The 23,831-nt window shown below is 36.0% G+C and overlaps 1 long non-coding RNA gene across 2 annotated transcripts in view; it reads left to right on the top strand.

Annotated features, from left to right (window-relative positions):
* The window catches only part of LINC02197 (long intergenic non-protein coding RNA 2197), a 125,726-nt gene that overhangs the window by 90,406 nt on the left and 11,489 nt on the right, over positions 1-23,831 (top strand). The window contains exon 3 of one of the 2 annotated variants that reach the window (NR_134268.1): positions 2,428-4,496. The exons of the other annotated variant lie outside the window; for it this stretch is intronic. This is a non-coding gene — a long non-coding RNA (long intergenic non-protein coding RNA 2197). Of the gene's footprint in view, positions 1-2,427; positions 4,497-23,831 lie in introns of those variants that run through there. 2 annotated transcript variants of the gene reach the window in all.

Genomic DNA, 23,831 nt, shown 5'->3' with positions numbered 1-23,831 from the left:
TCAAAAACACTTCCTTGTAAAATGAGCCCTTCCTTCAGCTGACAGGGTTGACAGGAGATCCCAGGTGGGGAAAACACACCAAAAAGATTCTTATACTTAGGCTTTGCTCCACTAGGGACATTCACAAACAATCTCCAGGACATATTGGTTTCCTTGGGACTAAGGTATTTGTACAATGTCCATTTATAGGGGGTTAAAGTGCCTGTGATAGTGGTTGAAAGTTTTGACCCACTTTTACAGATTAATCAGCATTGTGGTGGTTACAGAATTTCCAGATAAGGCATGCTTGCTCTTCTCTAGACAAACTCATCCACGATATCTTAGTAACACTGATTCTGAGTTACCTTTAGTATTTTAGGTAGATCCACACAGTGTGATTGCTAATGTTATTTGTACGGATTTAGGAGCCACCGAGTGGCTATCATTGAACTGTCAAATAAATCTCAATACCTAGTTAAAATTCTTTTACAAGTAACTTTTCATAAAGAGGAATAAATGTTTACAGTAAGGGAGTATTTTGTTTACTTGGGCAGCTTTCTATGAAGAGGAGCATTTCTTGCAAAGCAATATGCCTGAGAATTAACTTTAGATTTCATTTCTATTTCACTGGAGTAGATATGTTTAAATTAACTTATAATTTCTTAAGGAGTCAGATAAAACATTAATTTTCTTTTTAATTTCTATACTTGCAGCTAAGAGTCGAAAATGAACCTAAGAGCCCTTCATTCCAAAATCATGCACAATTTCTAGTGCTTGTCTACTATCTACATAAATGTTCTCTCTCTCATATACTCTTCACTTTTTGCCTCAGGCTGGATTGTGAGTTCCAGTTACAAAAATTGATTCAGCAACCCAGGCAGATGGAGTCTTCAGAGATAAGAGAATATCCAAAACAAGGTTAATTTTCTCTATTCTAGGTGAAAACTGTCAACAGATAATGTAAGATCAGAGTTAATTAAAGTTATGCCATTTAAGTCAGTTTTGGACAAGATGAGAGTTTGAATCACTGTCAGCTAAATATGTGGTTGTCCTTCATCCTGGAGGGGAAAAAGAAGGCAGTTTAAGATTTGTGCATTTTTGCTAATGTTATGAGATGTGAATAGCAAAGTAATCTCATCAATAGTAATAGTGTGGGTTGAAATATACTGTGTTACCTTATAGAAATGTTTTCTATCATACACGGGACCAGTTGGATACTGTAAAACTGACAGGGAAAAGAAAGTAAGAGGATTCTACTAATTAAACAGTATCTACAAGATTTCACAACAAAGGGGACACTGTTTGGTAACATTGTCTGGAAGAGTATTTGTTTAAGTAGTAAGTAAAGGTTTGGCATAATTAAGTTCATTTAGTGTAAGGGTTGCTACAACGTTTCCTCAATAGTTATAAAAATAAGCTAAGACTGCTCAAATGAAAAGAAATACAGGTTATTCAGTCAGAGCTTGCTGTAGCCAGGGAGTTGGCCACCATCACTTGCAATATGGCAACGAATCAAAGGCAGGCAGGCAGTGAGAAAGCTTTATCGTGGGAAAACCAGAAGGCTGCAGGAATGCCCTGGTTGGAAATTATTGTCATGGGGAATCTAAAGGTTGGATAACTAGAAGCAAAACATCCTATTTGATGGGTGAAGCTGCATAATTAGCATTCTCTGGTTGGTTCTAAATTGGAAGCTGGAGGGAAACACTTAGGGAAGCTGGAAGTTACCCACCAATTCCTAAGCATTTGGACCAATCGCTGCAGACTGGTTGCTGCAGAGGTCAGAGTTGATTTTCTGTGTGTGGAACCACCATTGTCTGTTAGTGTATTCAGTCTCTCATAGTATAAAGGCCGAAACTGCTTCAGGATCCAGATAAGAAGCTCTAGAAATTAGAATTTATTAGGGTCATGTAGTCCTTAGTCTGCCTCATGGACATAGTGATTGGTCTAAAGAAGCATTCTTCATTTCTGCTGCCCTAATCATATTATTCCAGCTTCCACAGACTGATTCAATAGGTCCCGAAGCTAAATTAAGAACCAGGATTCTTCAATAATACATTTGAACTGGAAACAAAGAAAGAGTAAGACTCCGTTGGAAAATGGGAGACTGTGAAACTAGGAATTGACAGTGACTATCTCTACAGCTGTGACAGACGTTAACCTGAGAGATAAAGCTGAGACCCAGAAGGCAAAGAATGTTACATACACAGAAAGAACATGTAAAATTGGAGCATCTATGTTTCTGCAACACATGAAGTATAACAATACCCCACCTTTCTTGAGATATTGCCTATGAGCCAGTTAATTGCCCTCGTTTGTGAAACTGTTTGTCTCCTGCAGCCATTGAATCCTGATTAATACTCATTAAATCTCTATGATGTCATAGTATATATCAGGCACTATGGCTCATATTATTGTTTTCCCCTGATATTTGGTTATTTTCTTTTCAAGGCACATGGAGACGGACCTCTACCTGCAATGCCCCCCTTGCACTTGGACAGAACCATGTGACTATTTATAAGCTATGACACATGAGCAGACATGACATGACGGGATTGATGGAGCAATGACCTCATCTTTTCTCCTGCCAAATATTATGAAAGAGGACTCAAGTCACTCACCTGAGGGACACTGGGTGAAAGTCAGTAATGAAGCTGAAAGGTCGCTAAATGCTGGCAAGTGAGATGGATTATAGTGTCTAGACTTTTTCCTGAGGTCATTCTATATCCAGCAGATATCTTTCAGTATATAGTCTATTCAGAACAATGTGCTAGTGACTATTGAGTGTGGTTACATTCTTTTTTTTTTTTTTTTTTGAGATGGAGTCTCACTCTGTCCCCTAGGCTGGAGTGCAGTGGCACAATCTTGGCTCACTGCAACCTCTGCCTCCTGGGTTCAAGCAATTCTCCTGAGTCAGCCTCCTGAGTAGCTGAGACTACAGGCACCCACCATCACGGCCAACTAATTTTTGTATTTTTAGTAGAGATGGGGTTTCACCATATTGGCCAGGCTGGTCTTAAACTCCTGACCTTGTAATCTGCCCACCTTGGCTTCCCAAAGTGCTGGGATTACAGGAGTGAGCCACCAAGCCCAGCCAGTTACATTCTTTAAACAAGGAGTGGACGTACCCTGAAACAAGAGATTAGTCAAAGAGATTTTGCTATTCATGGGACCTAAAAGGTGGCTGTACTTCCCTTTACTGCTTTTCCATACACAGCAATGCACGCTGTATGGGTTCTTATAGGTCAGAGAGTGAAAGAGAACCAGGACCTATAAAAGAATACAAGTCTCTAAAATCAGAAAGTTTATTATTTAAAAAAATAGTTACGTGCCAGTCTGCTTATAATTTATTTTTATGACTGAGAGTGCCTTTCATAAGCACATTCTGGCAAACTATAAAACAAATAAATTGAAATTGAATAAAACCTTTAGACATTAGAAGTGTAGCACCAGATTTAGTACATAACTGCAAAACTTAAACATGCAATTTTACATCTGCAAGCACATTAAATTGAAAGAAACTTTAACTTAATTTAGATACATTAATTGATACAAACTTTTCTGGTATATAGCACTTCTTGGCGCATTGAGTATTCTTAATCTTTAAGGCACATGAATATAATACCTTAGGAAAGATCTGTTCTCCACACATTTCCTCTATAAAGTGCCAAAAAAAAAAATAACGAAGAGCCAGTTTGTCTTCCGCATCAGTGTGATTTAGCATACATAAATAAGTATCTTTTCACACAAAATAAAAGGTTCAGAACCCAAAGTGTCTGATTTTTATAGTGCTTTTTCTTTCCTTTTAAAAAGATAGCAAGATGAGGGTAAGAGGTAATTTAAGAGAAGTAATCATCTTCTAACAGCCAGCTTGCAGAAACTAAAACAAATATCAATGATGTAAAAATGTTGTTTTGACACTTTGGTAAATGAAAGTGTGAGATGAGTAAGAATATATTATAGGTGCTTGTATATCAAAGGCCTGTGAAAATGGCTGATTATAAAGGAGAAAGTTAATGATCTCTAATTGTGTTGTAATGTAAATGCAGTATCACCGTAATGAAGAGAACAGATTTGCATGTTAACAAAAGAAATATTAGAGGAGTGAGTGTAGGATGTTTGGGATAATTAATTCCATCCTCCACTCCTACATACATATGCATATACAAACTCAATTCAATTTTAAAGAGAACCCGAAGAACCAAAAATAGACTGAACACACTTGATGTTGTATGGGAGCTTAAATTACTATTTTTGTTGTTCTCTGTGACTATCTCATTTAGTTTCTATTGTGTTTGCAGTTTCTTCCAAGGTGATTTTTAATGGATTGAGTAATGCATAAAAATTTGCAGAAGTATGCAGAAAGTTTGTATGCAGGGCCATGTAGAGCTTTTATCCTACAGTAAATCCTAGTAGTTTGCTGGTGCTGTGTGATTTTTTTTGTTTGTTTAGGGTTTTTGTGTGTGTGTGTGTGTGTGTGTGTGTGTGTGTGTGTGTGTGAAGCTTATTTATTCCATTTCAAGAAAAAGAAAAATAGACAAATTAGAATACCAAAAATAATTTGCAGCCAGTATCAACCAATTTATATTCAAGCTGAAAAATTAAAATAGCTTTCAGAGAATGGTAGAAGCATATTATTTAAAAAACAAACTATGAAGAAATGGACAGAAGCATGTAGACATAGATAACAGAAATTTAAAGTAAAAAGTAGAAAATGAAATTATTCCCTTTTATACCTGAAAGCAAATGATTTCCATGATTCTAAGCCTCTGTAAAAAGCAGCAACAATTTCATCATTTTCCTATTCACTCTTCATATTATCTAAATCAGGATTCTGCAAAATTATTTTCCTTGAATTACTTTTAAAACATACCAGAAATGAATTCACTACTCTAATTATCACAGCAATTCAGGGAATTATTAAAAATCAAATCAAATCAAATGAAACTTCGTAAGTTGTTTACAAAAAAACTTCAGGTTCATTTGCTTTTAATGCAAGACATGGCAATGTATCTCGGCCTGTGGATGTCCTCTCCATGTTAATAGTAAGTGCAAGTTTATGAAAAGACTAGACACCGACACCACCTGGGGAAATCAAAGCTTACTTACCTAAAATGCACAGGAGCCAAGAAGCATGTTTAAGTTCATGGGAGGGTAATGAATGCTGTTCTCTAGAACATGTTTCAAGGAGCTGGACACGTTTCCTTACCAGGGGAGACTCACACTGCAGATCATAATTTCTGAGCAAGTGAGAAGTGAGAGTTCCATTGCACCTGTGGGAAGCTCTATCCTCCAAAGTGTAGCTTTACACACCCAGCTTGAGTCATTCTTCTTTCAGGTGTATCTGGACATACTCCAGGGACTAGCTTATCTGTGCCTGGTGCACTTCATTTATCACGATTAAACAATATACAATTTGACTGAAGGGCACAGTATAGGTCAGTGCATTTATGCATAACAGCAGGACTTATTAATCATCCTCAGCTCCTGCAGGCTAAGAAATCCTGCTTAAAATTTATTTGCATGCTTAGAACTAGAACAGAGCTTCGAAACTAGAAAAAGGGTCACTTACTCTGATGTCTCTGGAAGCTCATGAGGTCAGCCCTGAACGCTAAGTTGCACTTCTTGAAACAGTTTTAATGCCCACGGCTATCTCCCAATTCATTCTGAGTTTGAGAAGGGAAAAAAATGAAATGATATTTAGTAGACTCCTATAACAGTTTGGGTAACACCAGCTGTTTTAACAAACAATCCTCAAAGTTAAAGTGGCTGAAAGTTTAAAATGTGTTTCTCATTAATAACATTCAAATAAAGGCATTTCTTGTCTGGGTGGCTTTTACCAGGGAGTAATTCAGGAAACTGGCCTCCAGTATTGTAGCTCCAACTTCCTAGAGGGCTTCAGAGTTCTCCTTTTTCAAATGACACATGTTGAAAGAACTGGAAGAAACATTTATATGTACCACCCTCTAAAAGTGGTACACATTAACCGGGACACAGTTGCATGGAAATATAGCCAAGCTATGTATCCAGAAAGAAGAAAAAACAAGTGTGGTAAAGAGCTATCAGTCTATGCCTCAGCTTTTCAAAATCCAGTCTTACGGCGCACAGATCTAGAGAGAATATGTAGACCTTATATTATGTAAAGGCATTCACAGAACTATTTTTGTTGTTGTTAACATACTTGAGCTTCCCTACGGCAATGTTCTTGTAGGTTTCCCAGACTAATAGCCTTCAAAATGGAGGTGAATATATACATACAAGAAAAAAATAAGTAACTTAAGTCTTCTAATAAGATATGTTTTATAAAAATATGAAGAAGATATAGTAACAGCTCCTTACAGCAGTGTAAGACCTTTCTTTCATCCATCTCCTCACCTATGGTTACTATCCTCACAATCCCATTTCCCTCTATGTACATTTTACTTTATAACATTATGTTCTCATACACAAAAAATACAATAAAAAATTTTCCATTATCCAACAGAATTTATAAAGCCTACAAAATTTCTAAATATATCATTTTATATGTAATGAATATGCTTGTTATTTCCCATTAAAAAAAAATGCAGCGGCCGGGTGTGGTGGCTTATGCCTGTAATCTCAACACTTTGGGAGGCTGAAGTGGGTGGATTGCTTGAGCTCAGGAGTTTGGGACCCACCCGGCCAATGTGGCAAAAATCTGTCTCTACTAAAAACCCAAAAATTAGCCAGGAGTGGTGGTGGGCACCTGTAGTCCCAGCTACTCATGAGGCTGAGGTGGGAGGATTGCTTGAGCTCAGAAAGCGGAGTTTGCAGTGAGCCATGGTTTTATCACTGCAGTCCAGCTTGGCGACCACTTGTTCTTTTTTGCTTGTTTCTTTGTCTTTTGCTTTACTTTGCATCATAGAGATACGGGTGAAAATTTCTTTAACCCTTTAAGTGTTTCTACTTTGTCTCATATGCTATACCTCATTTGTTACTTGGAGTATACTCTTGGCCATGCTATTAGAAATGGATGATGTAAAAATGGCGCCCCCTGAAGTCAAGCAATGTGAAACATTTGTAAATCTCTACAACAAATGCCCTAAATTGTAGTCGCTTAATTAAAATAATTATTTTCTATTTACTGTAATAGTCAACAGGTAAGAAATGCAGTCTTGCATGGATGTCCCACTAAAAAATATATGCCATCTTTTAGTCCGTTGATACTTAGCATATTGCCCTCATCTTCATGGACAAAAATTGGCAATTTTTCTGTAAAATCTCTCTTTCATATTACTGATGACAAAATTCTGCACTTTATCTGAGGAAGAAAATGACAAGACTGACATGTGGGACTCACTTCTCACTGTATAATACCATCCTTGGCTCCTGCCCCAGGATAATTTTGATATTTTTAATTATCAAACCAAAACCAATAAGTTATATAAAATATAGGCAAAGTTACATTCACTGGGAGAATTTTAGCACTCTCAAAATAACATATCAGTTCCTATTATCCAGTAAATTCCTACCACGTCCCACGCTCCCGGAAGTGTGTCCGGATTCATGTTTTTCTGATAGGTGAATGCAAAGTCACTAGCCATTGCCATTTGCCAGGGATTCAGAGAGACAGAAGTGTGGAAATTAACATTTAGATGTATGAGAAATATATGCAAGAAACTGAGACTGAGCAGGCAATTTGTAGATTGCATACAGTGTAGCCTAAACATGTTTGCTTCAGTGAATTTGTCATTTCTTGCATGGGGTAAGTCTAAAATTATTTATTGTTTAATTTTTTTCATTAGAAATAAACCCTCTTGGAAGTAATTAAAATGCATATTTCACAAAAAATTAGTGCGATGATGATGACAATCATGTAACTTGCAAAACTTGAGTGTTGTTTTATCACAAACCTTATGAAAACAGATGCATCCTTGCCTTAAAAAGGAGAAGGAAAAAGGAAATGCTCTGGGCACAGCATGAAGCCCAGAAAAAGAATATTTCCAACAGCCCCATGGACATATGGAGAGGATAGAACTTAACAGGGCTCATCATCTCTGGTCATCAGAGAAATGCAAATCAAAACTACAATGAGATAGCATCTCACACCAGTTAGAATGGCGATCATTAAAAAGTCAGGAAACAACAGGTGCTGGAGAGGATGTGGAGAAATAGGAACACTTTTACACTGTTGGTGGGAGTGTAAACTAGTTCAAACATTGTGGAAGACAGTGTGACGATTCCTCAAGGATCTAGAACTAGAAATACCATTTGACCCAGCCATCCCATTACTGGGTATATACCCAAAGGATTATAAATCATGCTACTATAAAGACACATGCACATATATGTTTATTGAGGCACTATTCACAATAGCAAAGACTTGGAACCAACCCAAATGTCCGTCAAGGATAGCCTGGATTAAGAAAATCTGGCACATATATACCACGGAATACTATGCAGCCATAAAAAAGGATGAGCTCATGTCCTTTGTAGTGACTTGGATGAAGCTGGAAACCAGCATTCTCAGCAAAATATCACAAGGACAGAAAACCAAACACCGCATGTTCTCACTCACAGGTGGGAATTGAACAATGAGAACACTTGGACACAGGGCGGGGAACATCACACACAGGGGCCTGTCGTAGGGTGGAGGGATGGGGGAGGGATAGCATTAGAGGAAATACCTAATGTAAATGATGAGTTAATGGGTGCAGCAAACCAACACGGCACATATATACATATGTAACAAACCTGCACGTTATGCACATGTACTCTAGAACTTAAAGTGTAAAAACAATAATAATAAAAAACTTCCAGCCCAAACAAAAATAGTATTAGCTACATTCAGAAGACCCCACAGAAAGGGTATAGTTTCCCACAGACACCCTACTAGAAAGCAGCTTCGTGGACAACATTCACCTCACCGTTTCCCAAAGATCATCATCATCACATCCTCTGCCTTAGAACCTATAACAGTGTCATTCATGGGGATGCCTCTCGCTCCTTAAAAAGTACTGAGAAAATTATGAGACAGAGAAGAAAGGGGGAGGGGATACAATTAAACTTTGTTTACAGAAGCCTGGGCTCTCCTGACTTTGATTTTGCTACTAAAGTAGCCGTGGGGAAATATTTCTTGAAACAATAAAAATGATTGACTTAGGTTTCAAAGTTTTTAACTCACAATAAAGAATTTTTTCTCCTTTCTCTTGCACTGTTTTTCATAATGATGGTATAAAACATATTAAGGTGTTATCACAAACAATTACTTCATGAGATTATATTTGAGTTTGGGGATTTCAAAGTCATTTTATTAAAATTAGCTGTATTGTTACACATTTTGTCTGGAAAGTCTAAGTAATGTCATTAAAAGCCCAGTTTAATTGCTTTGAAAAAGCTTATGCTTGACATGATATTCAGTCTCTTAGATTTCACAATTCATTCTCCATGTATTACTACTATGACTGACTTGTTTGTCTCTTTTTGAGTTCCTTCTAGAATTTAAAAGCATTAAGATTTAAGTGTGGCTGACTGCCACGGTTACTACTTGAGACCGTCATTACTAGACTGAATGAAGAGACGAACATAGAAATGGTAACAAAAAACAAAAGAAACTGTTTTAAGGAAAGGCTAGCATGGGGAAGAAGAGAGCTCCCTGCTTCTAGTGGTCCTCATTCCATCTTTGCATTCAGATTCAACTGGTTCATGGTTCATACTGGGGGAACAAGGTCCATGGTTGGGATCCATGGGTCCCTCCAGTCTCCTGTTCAACGGTCGTACACACCTTGGGAGCACCCACTCGGTTTGTTCATCTTCTGCAAAGATGTAAGTATACCCTCGTCCCCACGTTAGTAAATCTACCAAACAGAATCAAAAGTGTTTTCTTTTTTATTTATTTTTTATTTTTTTTGCTGTAGCCGGGAGGCACGCCATTGCTGAAACATTTGTAACTCAGCTTCTGCCTCTTTGGTTAATTGCCGTGGGGTAAAACTTTCCACTGAGAACAAGAAGCAGGCTCTTTCTGATTAACACACGGCACAGAGAAAGCAAATCGAGGCTTATCCTTCTCGTAAAACAGTATAGCAAAAAGCAATCCTTAAACCTTCAATTTGCACTGTACAGGTGGGTCCACTAGATGCTATGGGTGGTGATAGATAAATCTCTCTCCTAGTTGCACTTCCAAATCCCTGACCACCTCGCTTCTTCTTATGTGGAGAAGGGTACAATTTACAGGGAAGAAGCGAAAATTGAGCAACGTATTGTCCCAGTTCAAAAACCCAAAGATCTTGTGACATTACCACTACCTGAATTTCTCCTTCACAATCAAAATCAACAACTCCTGGGCCTGTAAGTTAAGACAGCTTTTACCAAAATCAATCCCTTGTATCTTGTTGGCAAAGATCCCCAAATACCAATGTGAATCTTAGTGAGTTTGTTTCTTTCATTTAATGTAATTGGTTCTCTGGGAGATCTAATCCTGCGTTTCCAGGTGTTCCTGGGGAGAGGGAATCCATGTGCCTCTGGAAACCCACCCCTGAAACGGAGTTGTGGCCTGGACAGGGAACGCCCTCATAGTTTGAGGTGCCCGGGTCCAGGCCCCCTTCTTGCTTCCCAACAGGGGGGTGCCGTTTTGATGAAATTTTGAGTGGTGTTGATTAGCCCAATGATTTCCTTTATTGCATCGAGGGCAAAGTCCGGCATTTTTTTTCTGTTAAGAGGGGGACTATGTTACAAGATCTCTTGTTCACAGAGGTCTGACGGCATTCTCTTTTGAAACGTCCAAGTTTTCTACACTTATGACACTTTCCCACTTTAGGGCTTGACCCTTGGCTTCTTTTAGATCTGTCAGCCACCAAATTTGCTATTGCCTGAGTCAATACTGCAGAGCAATGAAGCTCAGTTCCCACATCTTGACAAGCTCTGAGAAAGCCTCCCAAGTCCTCTGCACATCTCACAGGTGCCAGTGCACGTTTACAATCCATGAAAGCCAAAGCTAAAGTTAGCCTTTCTGTAGCCACCAAAGAAGACGATACAAGGCAATTTTCATTCTCCCTCTTCTGTTCACCATTTTCGATAGGCACTGTAGGTGGGGCAAAAAATTCTAAATAACAAAAAGATGGTACATACCAAAACTCCAAACAAACAAAAAAGAGAAAAGAAATAGCCAAATTCTTCCTCGTTTCCCTGTTTTAAAAACTTCCCATTCTTTGTACCTCTAGGGCACTGACCAGTACCTTTTTAGAGCACTAACCTTATGTCGCTGCCAACAGAGTTGTAATGGGCTTTCTCGTTCATCTAGTTGGTTTTAGTTTTTTTCTGTTCCAGCAGACCTTCCTCGCTCTAGTCCTATAGGACCCTATCTGTCCCTATCTGTCCCTGTCTGTTCCTCCAAATCTCTCCTAGTCTTTGCTAGTCTCTACTTTTGTACCTCTTTAGGACACAGACCAGTACCTCTTCAGGGCACTGACCTTATATTGCTAGTCTTTATCTATTCCTATCTGTCTCTGTCTGTCCCTATGGTACCTGTTAGTTCCTGCAAGTTCCTGCAAGTCCCCGTCTTTCCCTACCTATCTCTACTTTTCTCTACTTACTTATCTCTACTTACTTTTCTCTACTTACCTCTACTTATCTCTGTTTATCCCTGCAGACCTCTTCAGGTCCCTCCAGGTCCTTTCAGGTCTCTGTATGTCCCTGATAGTCTCTGAAATGTCCCTGTTCAGGCACCATTTGTAGTTGACTGTCACTGCTACTACATGAGACCATCACAAGTATGTTGAATTGAGCCTGGAACTCCTAGATGATAAACATTTTTTTATACCAACCTTCAACTTTTTCATTAAAATTAGATTGGGTAGATACTATAAATAGTGTCCCAAGCACTAGTGGAAAGATTCTACCATGTCTTACACTGGTTACTATGAGTTTGGAGTCAGAGGTATAAGGCTTGAAGAAAAAAGCACAATGAAATACAATTTTATCCACCAATCCGACATTTTTAAGTTTTAGGAAAATTGTGTCTTAATTCAAGCTGCTATAACAACAACAAAAACAACATACACTGACTGGTTTAAACAATAGAAATTTACTTCTCGGAGTTCTGGAGGCTGAGAGTCCAAGATAAAGGTGCCAGTCAATGGTTACAGGTAAAACCTCCATTCCTTGTCATGTCCTCATAAAGAGACAGAGAGAGAGACCAGACAGAGAGAGAGAGAGAGAGAGAGAGAAAGAGAGAGAGAGACTCATGACCTAATTATTTCCCAAAGGCCCTGTTTCCAAATATCATCTCAGTGGAATTAGGGTTTTAACATACAAATTTTGGGGGCGACGCAAGTATTTTTAGTCCATACCAAGTTAGATGCAACTTTACCAAAATTATTGTGGGTAATTTGACAAGGTAAGAGAGGTCAGTGAAACGCAAATTATATGATAACTTCTTGGTGCTCAGGCAGTATACCTGCCAGGTTGTCTCCTGGCTAGAGGAATGAAACAAGTAGTATTCAACAAGACTTTGGTAGTGAGTAAAACATGGCATATAAGTTGTTTTTTGTGGGAATGACATAGTCTAAATATTATTTTGATGACATACCTGTGTATTGACCTCTCTTGCATCAAAATGACATAAACATGGAGAAATAATTCTGAAAGTCAGCAGGAACTTGCAACTCACTTCTGGGAGGGGACCAGTTAGGGGAACTATGATATTAGACTGTGGCAATGTCGACCTCCACACAGGAGGAAAGAGTAGTCACATACCCTAAATCTTGCGTAACGTGGTGTCTTAAAATTTCAATAAATCTACTGAGTTAAATTAACAGCAAAGCAGAAAAATTTGCCAAAGCTATTTATAGCTCCACTAAAATGGAAGACAAGTTAAGAAAATGTGTGTTCTAAATAATCATGTCAGAAGTTAGTGTTTCCTTCAAATATAATCATAGGCCTAAGAATTTTTATCCAAGATTGATGAAATTTTATTTTACGCAACAATAAATGGAACACAAAGGCTGCACATCATTTTTTTGTCTTCTGTACATATCACTAAAAAAAAAAAGCATCAAACTAAAACAATGAATATAATATTAAATAGGGATTTTTTAATTGCTAATATTTTTAATATAGAGAAAGAATAATGTTTAATGATTAATTACAAAATTGATGAACTAGAATAGTGAGAAATCAAGGAGAGCTGAAATTTATGGAACTTTATGATAAACTAATAAAGGACAATTTTATTCCTAGCATTTTAATTATTTGCTTTATCATTGCATTTTAAATGCAATTATCAAAAATAAAGGTTATAACTAAGAATTTCAAAAATTCTCATTGTAGCAGAATTGGTAACAAAGAATTGAATACAGAGGGTGAATCTTATATTGCTTTATTATTATTAAAACTAAGGAAATATTTAGAATTTTGTGTACTAATTTAGCTACGAAGGAAAAGGAGGGCGTCATCATTTTAAAAATGTTTCCACATTGTCTACAGAAGCCTAGATTATTAAAAAAAAGAGTGGCCTCAGATAGATATCTGATTGGAATACACTACAAAATCTAGTAGTCAACTTGTTAAGATATCTGAAGATTCCATTTAAGACAGATTGTGAAAAAATATACTGGAAGAAATAGATTTTATTTAATATCCTTAAACATAAAACTTTGTTACCTTCTAAAACGCTATATTTAGTTTTATTTCTATTTTATAATATTGTATATGATGTGCTTTCTTTTCCAGGTAAAACTAACAAAAGACAATAAAATGTTATTAACTTGAGTTATGGTTAAAGTAGAAGAGCTGTGGATATTACACTACATGAAAAAAAATTCTTCCACAGATATTATTTGTGTATGCATACATCGATAGAGATACACATAGATAGATACAGATACAGATAGATATCGATATAGATATAGACTTGGCTATAGAGACTGTGGGTTTTTTAATACAGCAAGAAAAGAGAAATATTTATTTACACTGGATCAACAAAGGAACTAGGCTATTAACTCAGATTGTAATAGTCTAAAATTTTTCCAAAAATTAGGAAAAATAAAATATTTATATGAATTTTACCTGGAAGTGTTTCAAAATAGTTTGCAAAGAGTGAGAATGAATTTCAACTTGTGAGTAAAGGGTAAAACTGAAATGAAAGTTAAAACAAATAGTTTCCCCCTTTCATTATTAGATCATGATTTATTGAAAACAATCTTGATTGTTAAATATTGATTAAAATTAATGAAGGTGCAGAGTTCCTAAGACCTTGTCATTTGAACGTTATGAATATCTTCACAATGAAAACATTATTCGTGTTATTTATGTGAGCTTATATGTACTTTTCCGCATAAATAATTTGTACTCTTAGTTAGAAACAAATGAACTATGGCTTTTGGTTTGGTTTTGTTTATTTATGAATAAACATTAAGAACTGTGCTTATGAAATTTTCAGGAAATATACTGAATGCTTTAATGTACTCTGTAACATTGCAACATATAATTTCCCCTCTTCCCTCACTTTTTGATGTAGCTATCATTGCTTTGAGTTTTTATTTACTGGTTATTTTAAAGAGCTTAATGGTCTCATTTACTTAAAAGTGGAATAATATTGGACTACTATTTTCTTTTTTTAACCTCTCTAGGTCATTCTACAGTCATTACCTTCCAGCCTATTTGTTTCTGCAGAATCTACGTATGTAATACCTATAAATTTTCTTTTCATATTTGTTCACTCATCCACATCATTAATAAAGTTATTAAGTGAAGACAAACCCAGCAGTAGCACTCCCTTACCACCTTGAAATATTGTGCTGATGTAGAGGTTGTATCTGATTTAATTCTTCAAGGATTATTAATGTATGTGGAACTAGCTTTTCAGCCATGGAAATCTTTAGTACGTATTTAAGAAAAAGTGATTTAATGCTCAGTAGGGAAATGTTGTCCAAAACAGTGCCTGAAAAAAGCAGGTATGTGTCCACATTGGGCACACTGCAGGTGGGGTATATTGTTGAGATAGGAAGGAAAAATAAAATGTGAGAAAAGGCAAGAGACAGAAAACAAAGTGCAGGTCGGGAAGAGACAACTTTAACTTCCACCATTTGTTAATCAATTCTGAAATATTTTCATTTTTACAGCCTAAAATTATGCATGTGTTGGCATTTTTTTAAATGGATGATATTACAGTTTTCATTCAAGCATTGGTATAGAGCCTAACCTTTTGTTATGGATGAGATGTTTAGATTCTTCATCTGGAAAATCTATTTTCCTGTTATTGAAGTCACATATATACATATATGTATATATACTTTTATATATGTGTCTATATATAGTAAAAATGTGTATATTTATTTTAAAAAGTATTTTGGTTCATGTTTTTGTTCTTAATGTTGTCCTACTAAAATTACTTAATCATAAATCTTTCTACTAACAGTAAGGCAGAAACAGAGTAACAAGGGATTTTTTTTTTTCTATTAAACTGAAGACAGAGAAGTTTGGTATTTATTTTTACCTAATATAGCAAACTTCAAAAAACAATCTATTTCAATAAAAATATTTTCCCCAGCTACAGCAATAAACAAGGGATAATATATAATCTAAAAATGTAATGGAAGAAAAGGCACAGCATTAAGAGATTGCCTTATTTTCCTTTCTAGCACATCTTGCTCTTAAAATATCCATTAGTCTATAAAGGGTGCTATTTACAAGGATCAGTTTCCCTGTATTTCTGGGTTGAATGATCCTCTACTTTTACTATCCTTTGCTAAACATGACAAAATAAGAAAATAAAAGATAAATATGAGATGAAGACCTCAAATGACATCAATTTCATTGCCTCTAAAAAGTTGTGATGATGAATGTTACCACTACTCAACTGAGTTTATGAAAAGGCAAATATACTTTTAAAAATGTAGGGGTGCTTATACAAAGACTTATGTGTTTACGTTTACTTTTTTTATAAAGCTGATTTAATCAAAAGATTTAGTTAAGGCCGGGCGCGGTGGCTCACGCCTGTAATCCCAGCACTTTGGGAGGCCGAGGCGGGCGGATCACGAGGTCAGGAGATCGAGACCATCCCGGCTAAAACAGTGAAACCCCGTCTCTACTAAAAATACAAAAAATTAGCCGGGCGTAGTGGCGGGCGCCTGTAGTCCCAGCTACTTGGGAGGCTGAGGCAGGAGAATGGCGTGAACCCGGGAGGCGGAGCTTGCAGTGAGCCGAGATCCCGCCACTGCACTCCAGCCTGGGCGACAGAGCGAGACTCCGTCCCAAAAAAAAAAAAAAAAAAAAAAAGATTTAGTTAGTAATTTATTGACTCAAATACTTTATGCCTTCTATTTCACATTTTTTACAGGTTTATAAGTCTAGATACCTATGTCAATTAGTGAATTTTCTACCAAGAGTTCATGTTTTGTTGCTTAAAGGCAGATAATTTTTTTATTTAAATAATATTAAAAAGAGGAAAATATTTCAAAATACCAAGATTGGGAGGTGTCTGGGAGATTTATATGTATTGCTTTTATTAACTGTCTAGCACTGGATTTATAAACCAGCTTATTTTTTTAATTTAAAAGCTCTCTGCCTTGCAATTTAATTCACATGATCTGCATTAACCATGCCATATTCAAAATTTCATTGATAAATTCTATCCAGTAGTCAATATCGAATTGTAAACTGATGTAATGTGCTTTAAAATATGAAGATTTAATCTTTAAAATATGAATATTTGATTGAATAATTACTACCACTAAAATCATGTTTACTTATTAGAATTATCATATAGGAATTGTTTTATAATGTATATGTTAATTGAATGTGATTTCTTGATACTTAGGATATACGTTAAGTATACATAAACAAATTGGAAATAAAGTTCTGATATACTGTTCCATGAAAGTTTCAAATCTTTATATTAAAGATTACCATTTGAGTCAGAGGCAATGATAGGATTTTCTGTACTTTATCCACATGTTTATATATATACATATATATATGTTTTCATATAACCTTTCATAAGGATAGAAAAGAACTATGAATGTTTCTCCATCAGGCATCTTTCAAATACAACATAACAATAACTTCCTTAAGTATTTTATTTAGGCAAAAACTATAAAATGATGGAATGGAAAAAGAATTCTCAATGATCAAACCAAAGCAATTATATTTGATTCTGAATTTTAAAAGATTAGTCCATCAATTTATATTTAGAGGTTAGAAAACACATTCTGAGAGACAGAAAATTATATTACTTTTCTAACTTCCTGGAGAATATTGTGCTTTGTCAAATTTTACATTTATGAGAAGTTTTATATTAAAGCTATAAAATCTATCAGGGTAAGTTAATATGAGTATTTGAAAGTTTCACTGTTAAATTTATATTATCACATATTAAATGAAAGAACTGTTAACTGTGTACTGAATTCAAAAGTTAATATAGCTTCTCTCTTTTTTAAGAAATGGGACACAATATTAAAAAATTAAAGAGTTTTCAAATATTTATACTTAAATTTATATCTAAGGAATTATATATAGAATGCATACCTTTCAAGTAGATACTATTGTTGCTGTTAAGATTATTGTCAACAAAATTTAAATACACAGACTATTAAATAAAGAAATTAAAACAACAAAAAATAACCTCTCGGCCAGGTGTCCTGGTTAACCTGTAATCCCAGCACTTCAGAAGCTTGAGGCAAGAGGATTGCTTGAGACCAATAGTTTGAGACCAGCCTGAGCAGCAAACTGAGACTCTATGTGTATCAAAAAATGTTTTAAAAGTAGCCGGGTACTGAGGCAGGCACTTGTAATCCAAGCTACTTGGGAGGCTGAGGTGGGAGGTATGCTTGGGCCCAGGATTTTGAGGCTGCAGTGAGCTGTGATTGCACCACAGCCCTCCAGCCTGGGAGAGAGAGGAGACCTTGTTTCTAAAAACTAACTAAATAAACAATAATGTAAAAAATCTCTCTTTAGGTGTATGCTTCTCTTTGCCAGTGTTTAAGGGTTAAAAAATCAATATGAGAGATTAACTAAAGTACCAATTTAGAGTTAAATGAGTGCATTTGCCACTTGAGTGCCGATTGCCTCGCATGACAGACAATATTAAGTGCTGATGACTTTAACTTTCACAAGTTTTATGCGATAGTGGGATAAATTTTTACTTAAAATGTGTTAAACTTCGGTTTAATTGCACTAATTAATGTCTCAATAGATATACTGTTGTATCTACCTCAAAATGCAAACACCAATGAAGTAATTCATCAGAAGACTTGATATGAATAAAGAATGGAACAGTAAAGTTGAAGATAAAAAACATAGAAATTGAATAACAAATACAAGTAAGAAACAAGAAGAGTGATAAATAGCAGAACATGGCATCCAAGAGCTGAAGGACAGCTCTGGATGCCTAACTTGAACGGATTCATGAAAGAGAACAAGGATGATAAATACTTAAAAACAAAATGAATGAGAATTTTCCAAAAGAAGTGAAGGCAATCAAATCGTAAATCCAAGAAACATTTCTAGAGATATAGGGGCTACGTAAACAAACTAAAAAAAAGGTAAAAAATTATATGAAGACAAACATAGTTGTGTTGTATGTATTATATAGTTAAATATACGTTATACACAGGCACGAAGAAAAGAAGTACAGGAAACCTGTCCTCAAGAACTATTTAACTGTATACTGGAAATTTTAACCAGTGTACTAAAGTAAGAAAAATAAACAAAAGGCATACAAATTGGATACGAAGAAATAAAACTCTATTTGATTCGTGGATGGTCTATGCACAGTATTCCATTATGTACAAAATAATTAAAATTATTAGCAGTGAAGCTGCTAGAAATAAATTGTGAGTACAAAATAATTAAAATTATTAAAAGTGAAGCTACTAGAAATAAATTGTGAGTTTTGTAATTTCACACTATGCACTATAACACTATAATGTTAATATACAGAATTATTTTTTATATATAATTGTTGCAGGAAAAACCCAGACCTGTGTAGAAGAACATCCCTCTGCCAAAGAGATAGTGCTGAAATAACAAAGAAGGACTCAGACAAGTCCAGCTTCATGAGAAGATGAGTTTATTAGGACTTACGTAAAGGGCAGCGGGATAACTCCAGAGATCCGCCTGCTGCCCACCATCTTCCTCTAAGCTGCTTTTAAGCTACTTTTTTCTTTTCTTTTCTTTTCTGTTTCCTTTCCTTTCCTTTCCTTTCCTTTCCTTTCCTTTCCTTTCCTTTCCTTTCCTTTCCTTTCCTTTCCTTTCCTTTCCTTTCCTTTCCTTTCCTTTCCTTTCCTTTCCTTTCCTTTCCTTTCCTTTCCTTTCCTTTCTTCTTTTCTTTTCTTTTCTTTGACGGAGTCTCGCTCTGTCGCCCAGGCTGCAGTGCAGTGGCGGGATCTCGGCTCACTGCAAGCTCCGCCTCCCAGGTTCACGCCATTCTCCTGCCTCAGCCTCCCGAGTAGCTGGGACTATAGGCGCCTTCCACCACGCCCGGCTAATCTTTTGTATTTTTAGTAGAGACGGGGTTTCACCACGTTAGCCAGGATGGTCTTGATTTCCTGACCTCGTGATCCGCCCGCCTTGGCCTCTCAAAGTGCTGGGATTACAGGCATGAGCCACCGCGCCCGGCCAAAGCTACTTTTCTGGCTCTTTGCTTACTACATGTGATGAAACTGTTCTTCTTGGTATGTACCTAGATATGCTCCCGGATGTTTTGGTTTTCAGGGACATCTGCTCCTCGGCTGAGCACCATGAACTTTGCTCACCATCTAGCCTTCAGGACTCAAGCAGTCAACATATGCCCTTAAATTCCCTGGTGGGGGACCCGCTACTTTACAACACTATTAATGAACAATTGGAAATTAGAATTTTTTAAAGTTACATTTAAAGTAGCACAAGAAACATTAAATTCTTAATCTAAAAAAACATGGAGAAAGGGTAACAAAAACTAAAAAAACACTGGTAAAAGAAATCAAAGAAGAAGTAAATAAGTAAAGAGCTTGGTAGCCAATATTGACAATAAATTAATTCTGTTCAAACCAAACAAAAAATTCAATACAAAAATTCAATCCAGTTAAAATTCCTAACAGGATATTTGCAACTAACAAACAAGCTCATTCTAAAACTTTCAACAGAGAAGCAAAGGAATTATAATGGAAAAATCATTTTGACAATAAAAAAATTGAAGAATCCACTGATTTATATGTATACTATATACATATATGTATATATACATATATTATATATACATACATTATTATACATATATGTAATATACATATGTATATCTGTTGGTGACTTTAACCATATGATTCATAATTTCAAAAACTGGTGAATAGTCAAAAAGTTATATACTGTATCTATTTAATATCACATTAGGAAGAAAAAGAAACAAATCTGATAACATAACAACATGAATGTGTCTCAGATTTATTATGCTATTTTAAAAGCCAGATTTAAAGGCCTATTCAGGATGCTGTTTGCTCCCTTGTGTATGACATTCTAGAAAATATAAAACCATAGGGACAAAGAACAGCGATTTCCAAAGACTGAGGGCAGCAGAAATACTGATTCAAAAGGCACAAAAGGGAATTTTTCTAGGTGATGTTACTGTTCTATATCTTGAGGATGGTATTTGTTATATAACCATCTATGTTTTCAACACACTGCATACTTAAAAAGATGACTTTTGGCATATATAAATTTTAATTCGATAAACCTGAGTTTTTAAAACAAAGATTTTCTGTAACCAGTAGACTCATAACACTGTCTTCCTGCCATTGACTAAGATGGTTTCAATAGTGGATTCCTCTTGTTCATGCCAGCCAATGTGTCTTTTGTTTAACCAAAACCCTTGAAATATCTTTGCCTCAGGCTTTTATTGCAATTTCCTGTAATTTAAAGACTTCACCCTCCTATTCACAGGAGTTAGTATCTTGAAATGGTAATAACTTGAAAACAGCTATGGTGGGAGGACTTACTCTTTGAAGTGTAAATTACATACATGCAGCATACACCATGTATCAAGACTTTCTTTTTTTCTGGTTTTTTTTTTTTTTTTTTTTTTTTTGAGATGGCGTCTCACTCTGTTGCCCAGTCTGGAGTGCAGTGGTGTGGTCTCAGCTCGCTGCAACCTCCACCTCCCTGGTTCAAGCGATTCTCCTGCCTCAGCCTCCTGAGTAGCTGTGACTACAGGCACCATGCCACCACGCTGGGCTAATTTGTGTATTTTTTATTAGAGACGGGGTTTCACAATATTGGCCGGGCTGGTCTCGAACTCCTGACCTTGTGATCCACCCGCCTTGGCCTCCCAAAGTGCTGGGATTACAGGCGTGAGCCACCGTGCCCAGCCGACTTTCTTTTCATTTGGATCACTAGTTTACCAACATCACTGCCTTTACTCAACTCTATTAACAATTATTTAACCTAGTTTATCAAGTCACTTGTCAAAATAGAGATTTATATTGTTTATATATGTAATATTTTACAAATCTGTATTTTTGTACTTCACTATCTAATTAAACCTTTGGGGTAACTTTTATGTGTATCCCAAATAGGACAGGACAGTCATTCATTTCTTATAATGTATCAGCTAATTTCAAGGAGACATCGGAATTTTTGTGGAGACATCGGAATCTGAAGAGCAAAGTGATTCAAATTGGGTCACAGATTAAATAATTTTTAAAATGTTTACTTTAAATATCTTAAAAAACTTTAAGGAGAAAATTAATTTTTCTATATTGTTCTTGGCCTTAAAATATACATTAAGCATTAGTTTTCTGGCTTTTGATGTTTTTCATAAAATTAGCTCAAAAAATGCAAAAAGCTTGTATGAATATATAAGGGCCTTTGTAATCATATTGTAATTGCTTGACATAGTTAATTTCTTGATTTCTGACTCTGGCATCTGAGTTTCATAATTGTTATGTAATTACTCTATTTTTTTAAATCATGTTTTTAAATGGAAGTTTCAGTCTCAGATCTTTTCTATTTCATGCAATAAATAATTTTTAGCAGTAAAGAATTATTTGGCAATAAATATTTTTTGAGACGTCATGCTCCAATGATATAATTTAGTCCACTTTCTGCTTGAAAATATGCAAAGAAGAAATCTCTTGTTGGTATTAATTTCAGAAGTCGTCTTTGCACACACAATGATGATCATTCTGTTTTCCTTAGATAATTCATGGTAGTGTAACCCAATAATATAATCTTAGATGTGTAACTTACATACATGCACGTGGCACATGAAGCATGTGGTGTACTGAGATGAAAATAAGCTTGTAAAAGTCATTGGTTACCTAACTGCGGCTTGGTACCTAGCACACCCTACCTGCAACGGTCCCAACAGTTACACTGGCTCTATTTGACTTAGATGATGCAGGGGTGGGTTCAAAATCCCTCTCTTTTTCCTAATTACATACGACTGAGCATCCCTTCCCTTGTCTCAATCTGGGATTTTGAGAGTTTATTATAAGATCCCCAGTGAAAATCCACCCAGGTGGTTCTTCCCTACCCTCTTTAAATGTTCACACCCTAGTGTGAACAAGCTAGAAGTGGATTCTTTGAGGCAGTGACAACAGACCATGTTCAACTTCTACACTCCTTGATGTTTGTGTATTGGAAGAAGGTGTGACAAGATGCCAGGCACCAGAATTTCAGGTTGGTCTTTATGGAATTCTTGAACTCTAGGGCTGCATCCCTCCCTATAATGAGGCAAAGTTGGGGAAGTAGAAAGTTCAATGCAGCCTATGATTTTTACCTCATGGTTTTCTATAACCTAATACATATCACATTGAATTATGTGTTAACTCGTGAGCATTCAAATTAATAGAGCATGCTGTACCAAAATATTGTCATTATTTTGGTTATTATAAATTATATATGGCCATGATCAGTGCTATAGGGCAAGACTATATCATTTTTTACTTCTAGGCTAAAAGGATTATGTTCCTACACATGAATTATGTAACTTTTTAAAAAAAATAGTGATATTTTTCTATTAGAAGTTAAAGCAATTAGTTCTTTACAACATTGGCTACGTACTCAAATCAACTGATTCCTGGGTTTCCCCTCAATCCAAGTAAATTAGGCAGAGAGCAAAACTAAGGAACAGTATTTTCAAAGCTGACCAGGATTGACAATGACTGGTATTCAAATAGCTGTGAATTTGTGCAAATGTAGCAGAAGACAGCAAAGGGTTCTGGATATGCCAATTATTATTTATTTATTTTTATTATACTTTAAGTTCTAGGGTACATGTGCACAATGTGCAGGTTTGTTACATATGTATACATGTGCCATGTTGGTGTGCTGCAGCCATTAACTCGTCATTTACATTAGGCACATCTCCTAATGCTATCCCTGCCCCCTCCTCCCACCCCACGACAGGCTCCGGTGTGTCGTGTTCCCCACCCTGTGTCCAGGTGTTCTCATTGTTCAATTTGCACCTATGAGTGAGGATATGCGGTGTTTGGTTTTCTGTCCTTGCGATAGTTTGCTCAGAATGATGGTTTCCAGCTTCTAGAACTGGAAATACCATTTGACCCAGCCATCCCATTACTGGATATATACCCAAAGGATTATAAATCATGCTGCTATAAAGACACATGCACACATATGTTTATTGCGGCACTATTCACAATAGCAAAGACTTGGAACCAACCCAAATGTCCATCCATGATAGACTGGATTAAGAAAATGTGGCACATATACACCATGGGAATACTATGCAGACATAAAAATGTATGAGTTCATGTCCGCTGTAGGGACATGGATGAAGCTGGATATGCCAATTATTATTAAAATAATTTTTGGGTTAAGCTGATTTTTACTTTTCTGAAAGAAAGATCCAAACACAATGCCTATAATAAATCTTAGAAATTGTCTGTCTCCATTGGTGAGATTAG

The sequence above is a fragment of the Homo sapiens genome, chromosome 5, assembly GCF_000001405.40.
Source record: "Homo sapiens chromosome 5, GRCh38.p14 Primary Assembly".
Taxonomy (NCBI): domain Eukaryota; kingdom Metazoa; phylum Chordata; class Mammalia; order Primates; family Hominidae; genus Homo; species Homo sapiens.
Note: the sequence above shows the minus strand (reverse complement) of the source record. Positions and strands in the feature narration are given on the sequence as shown.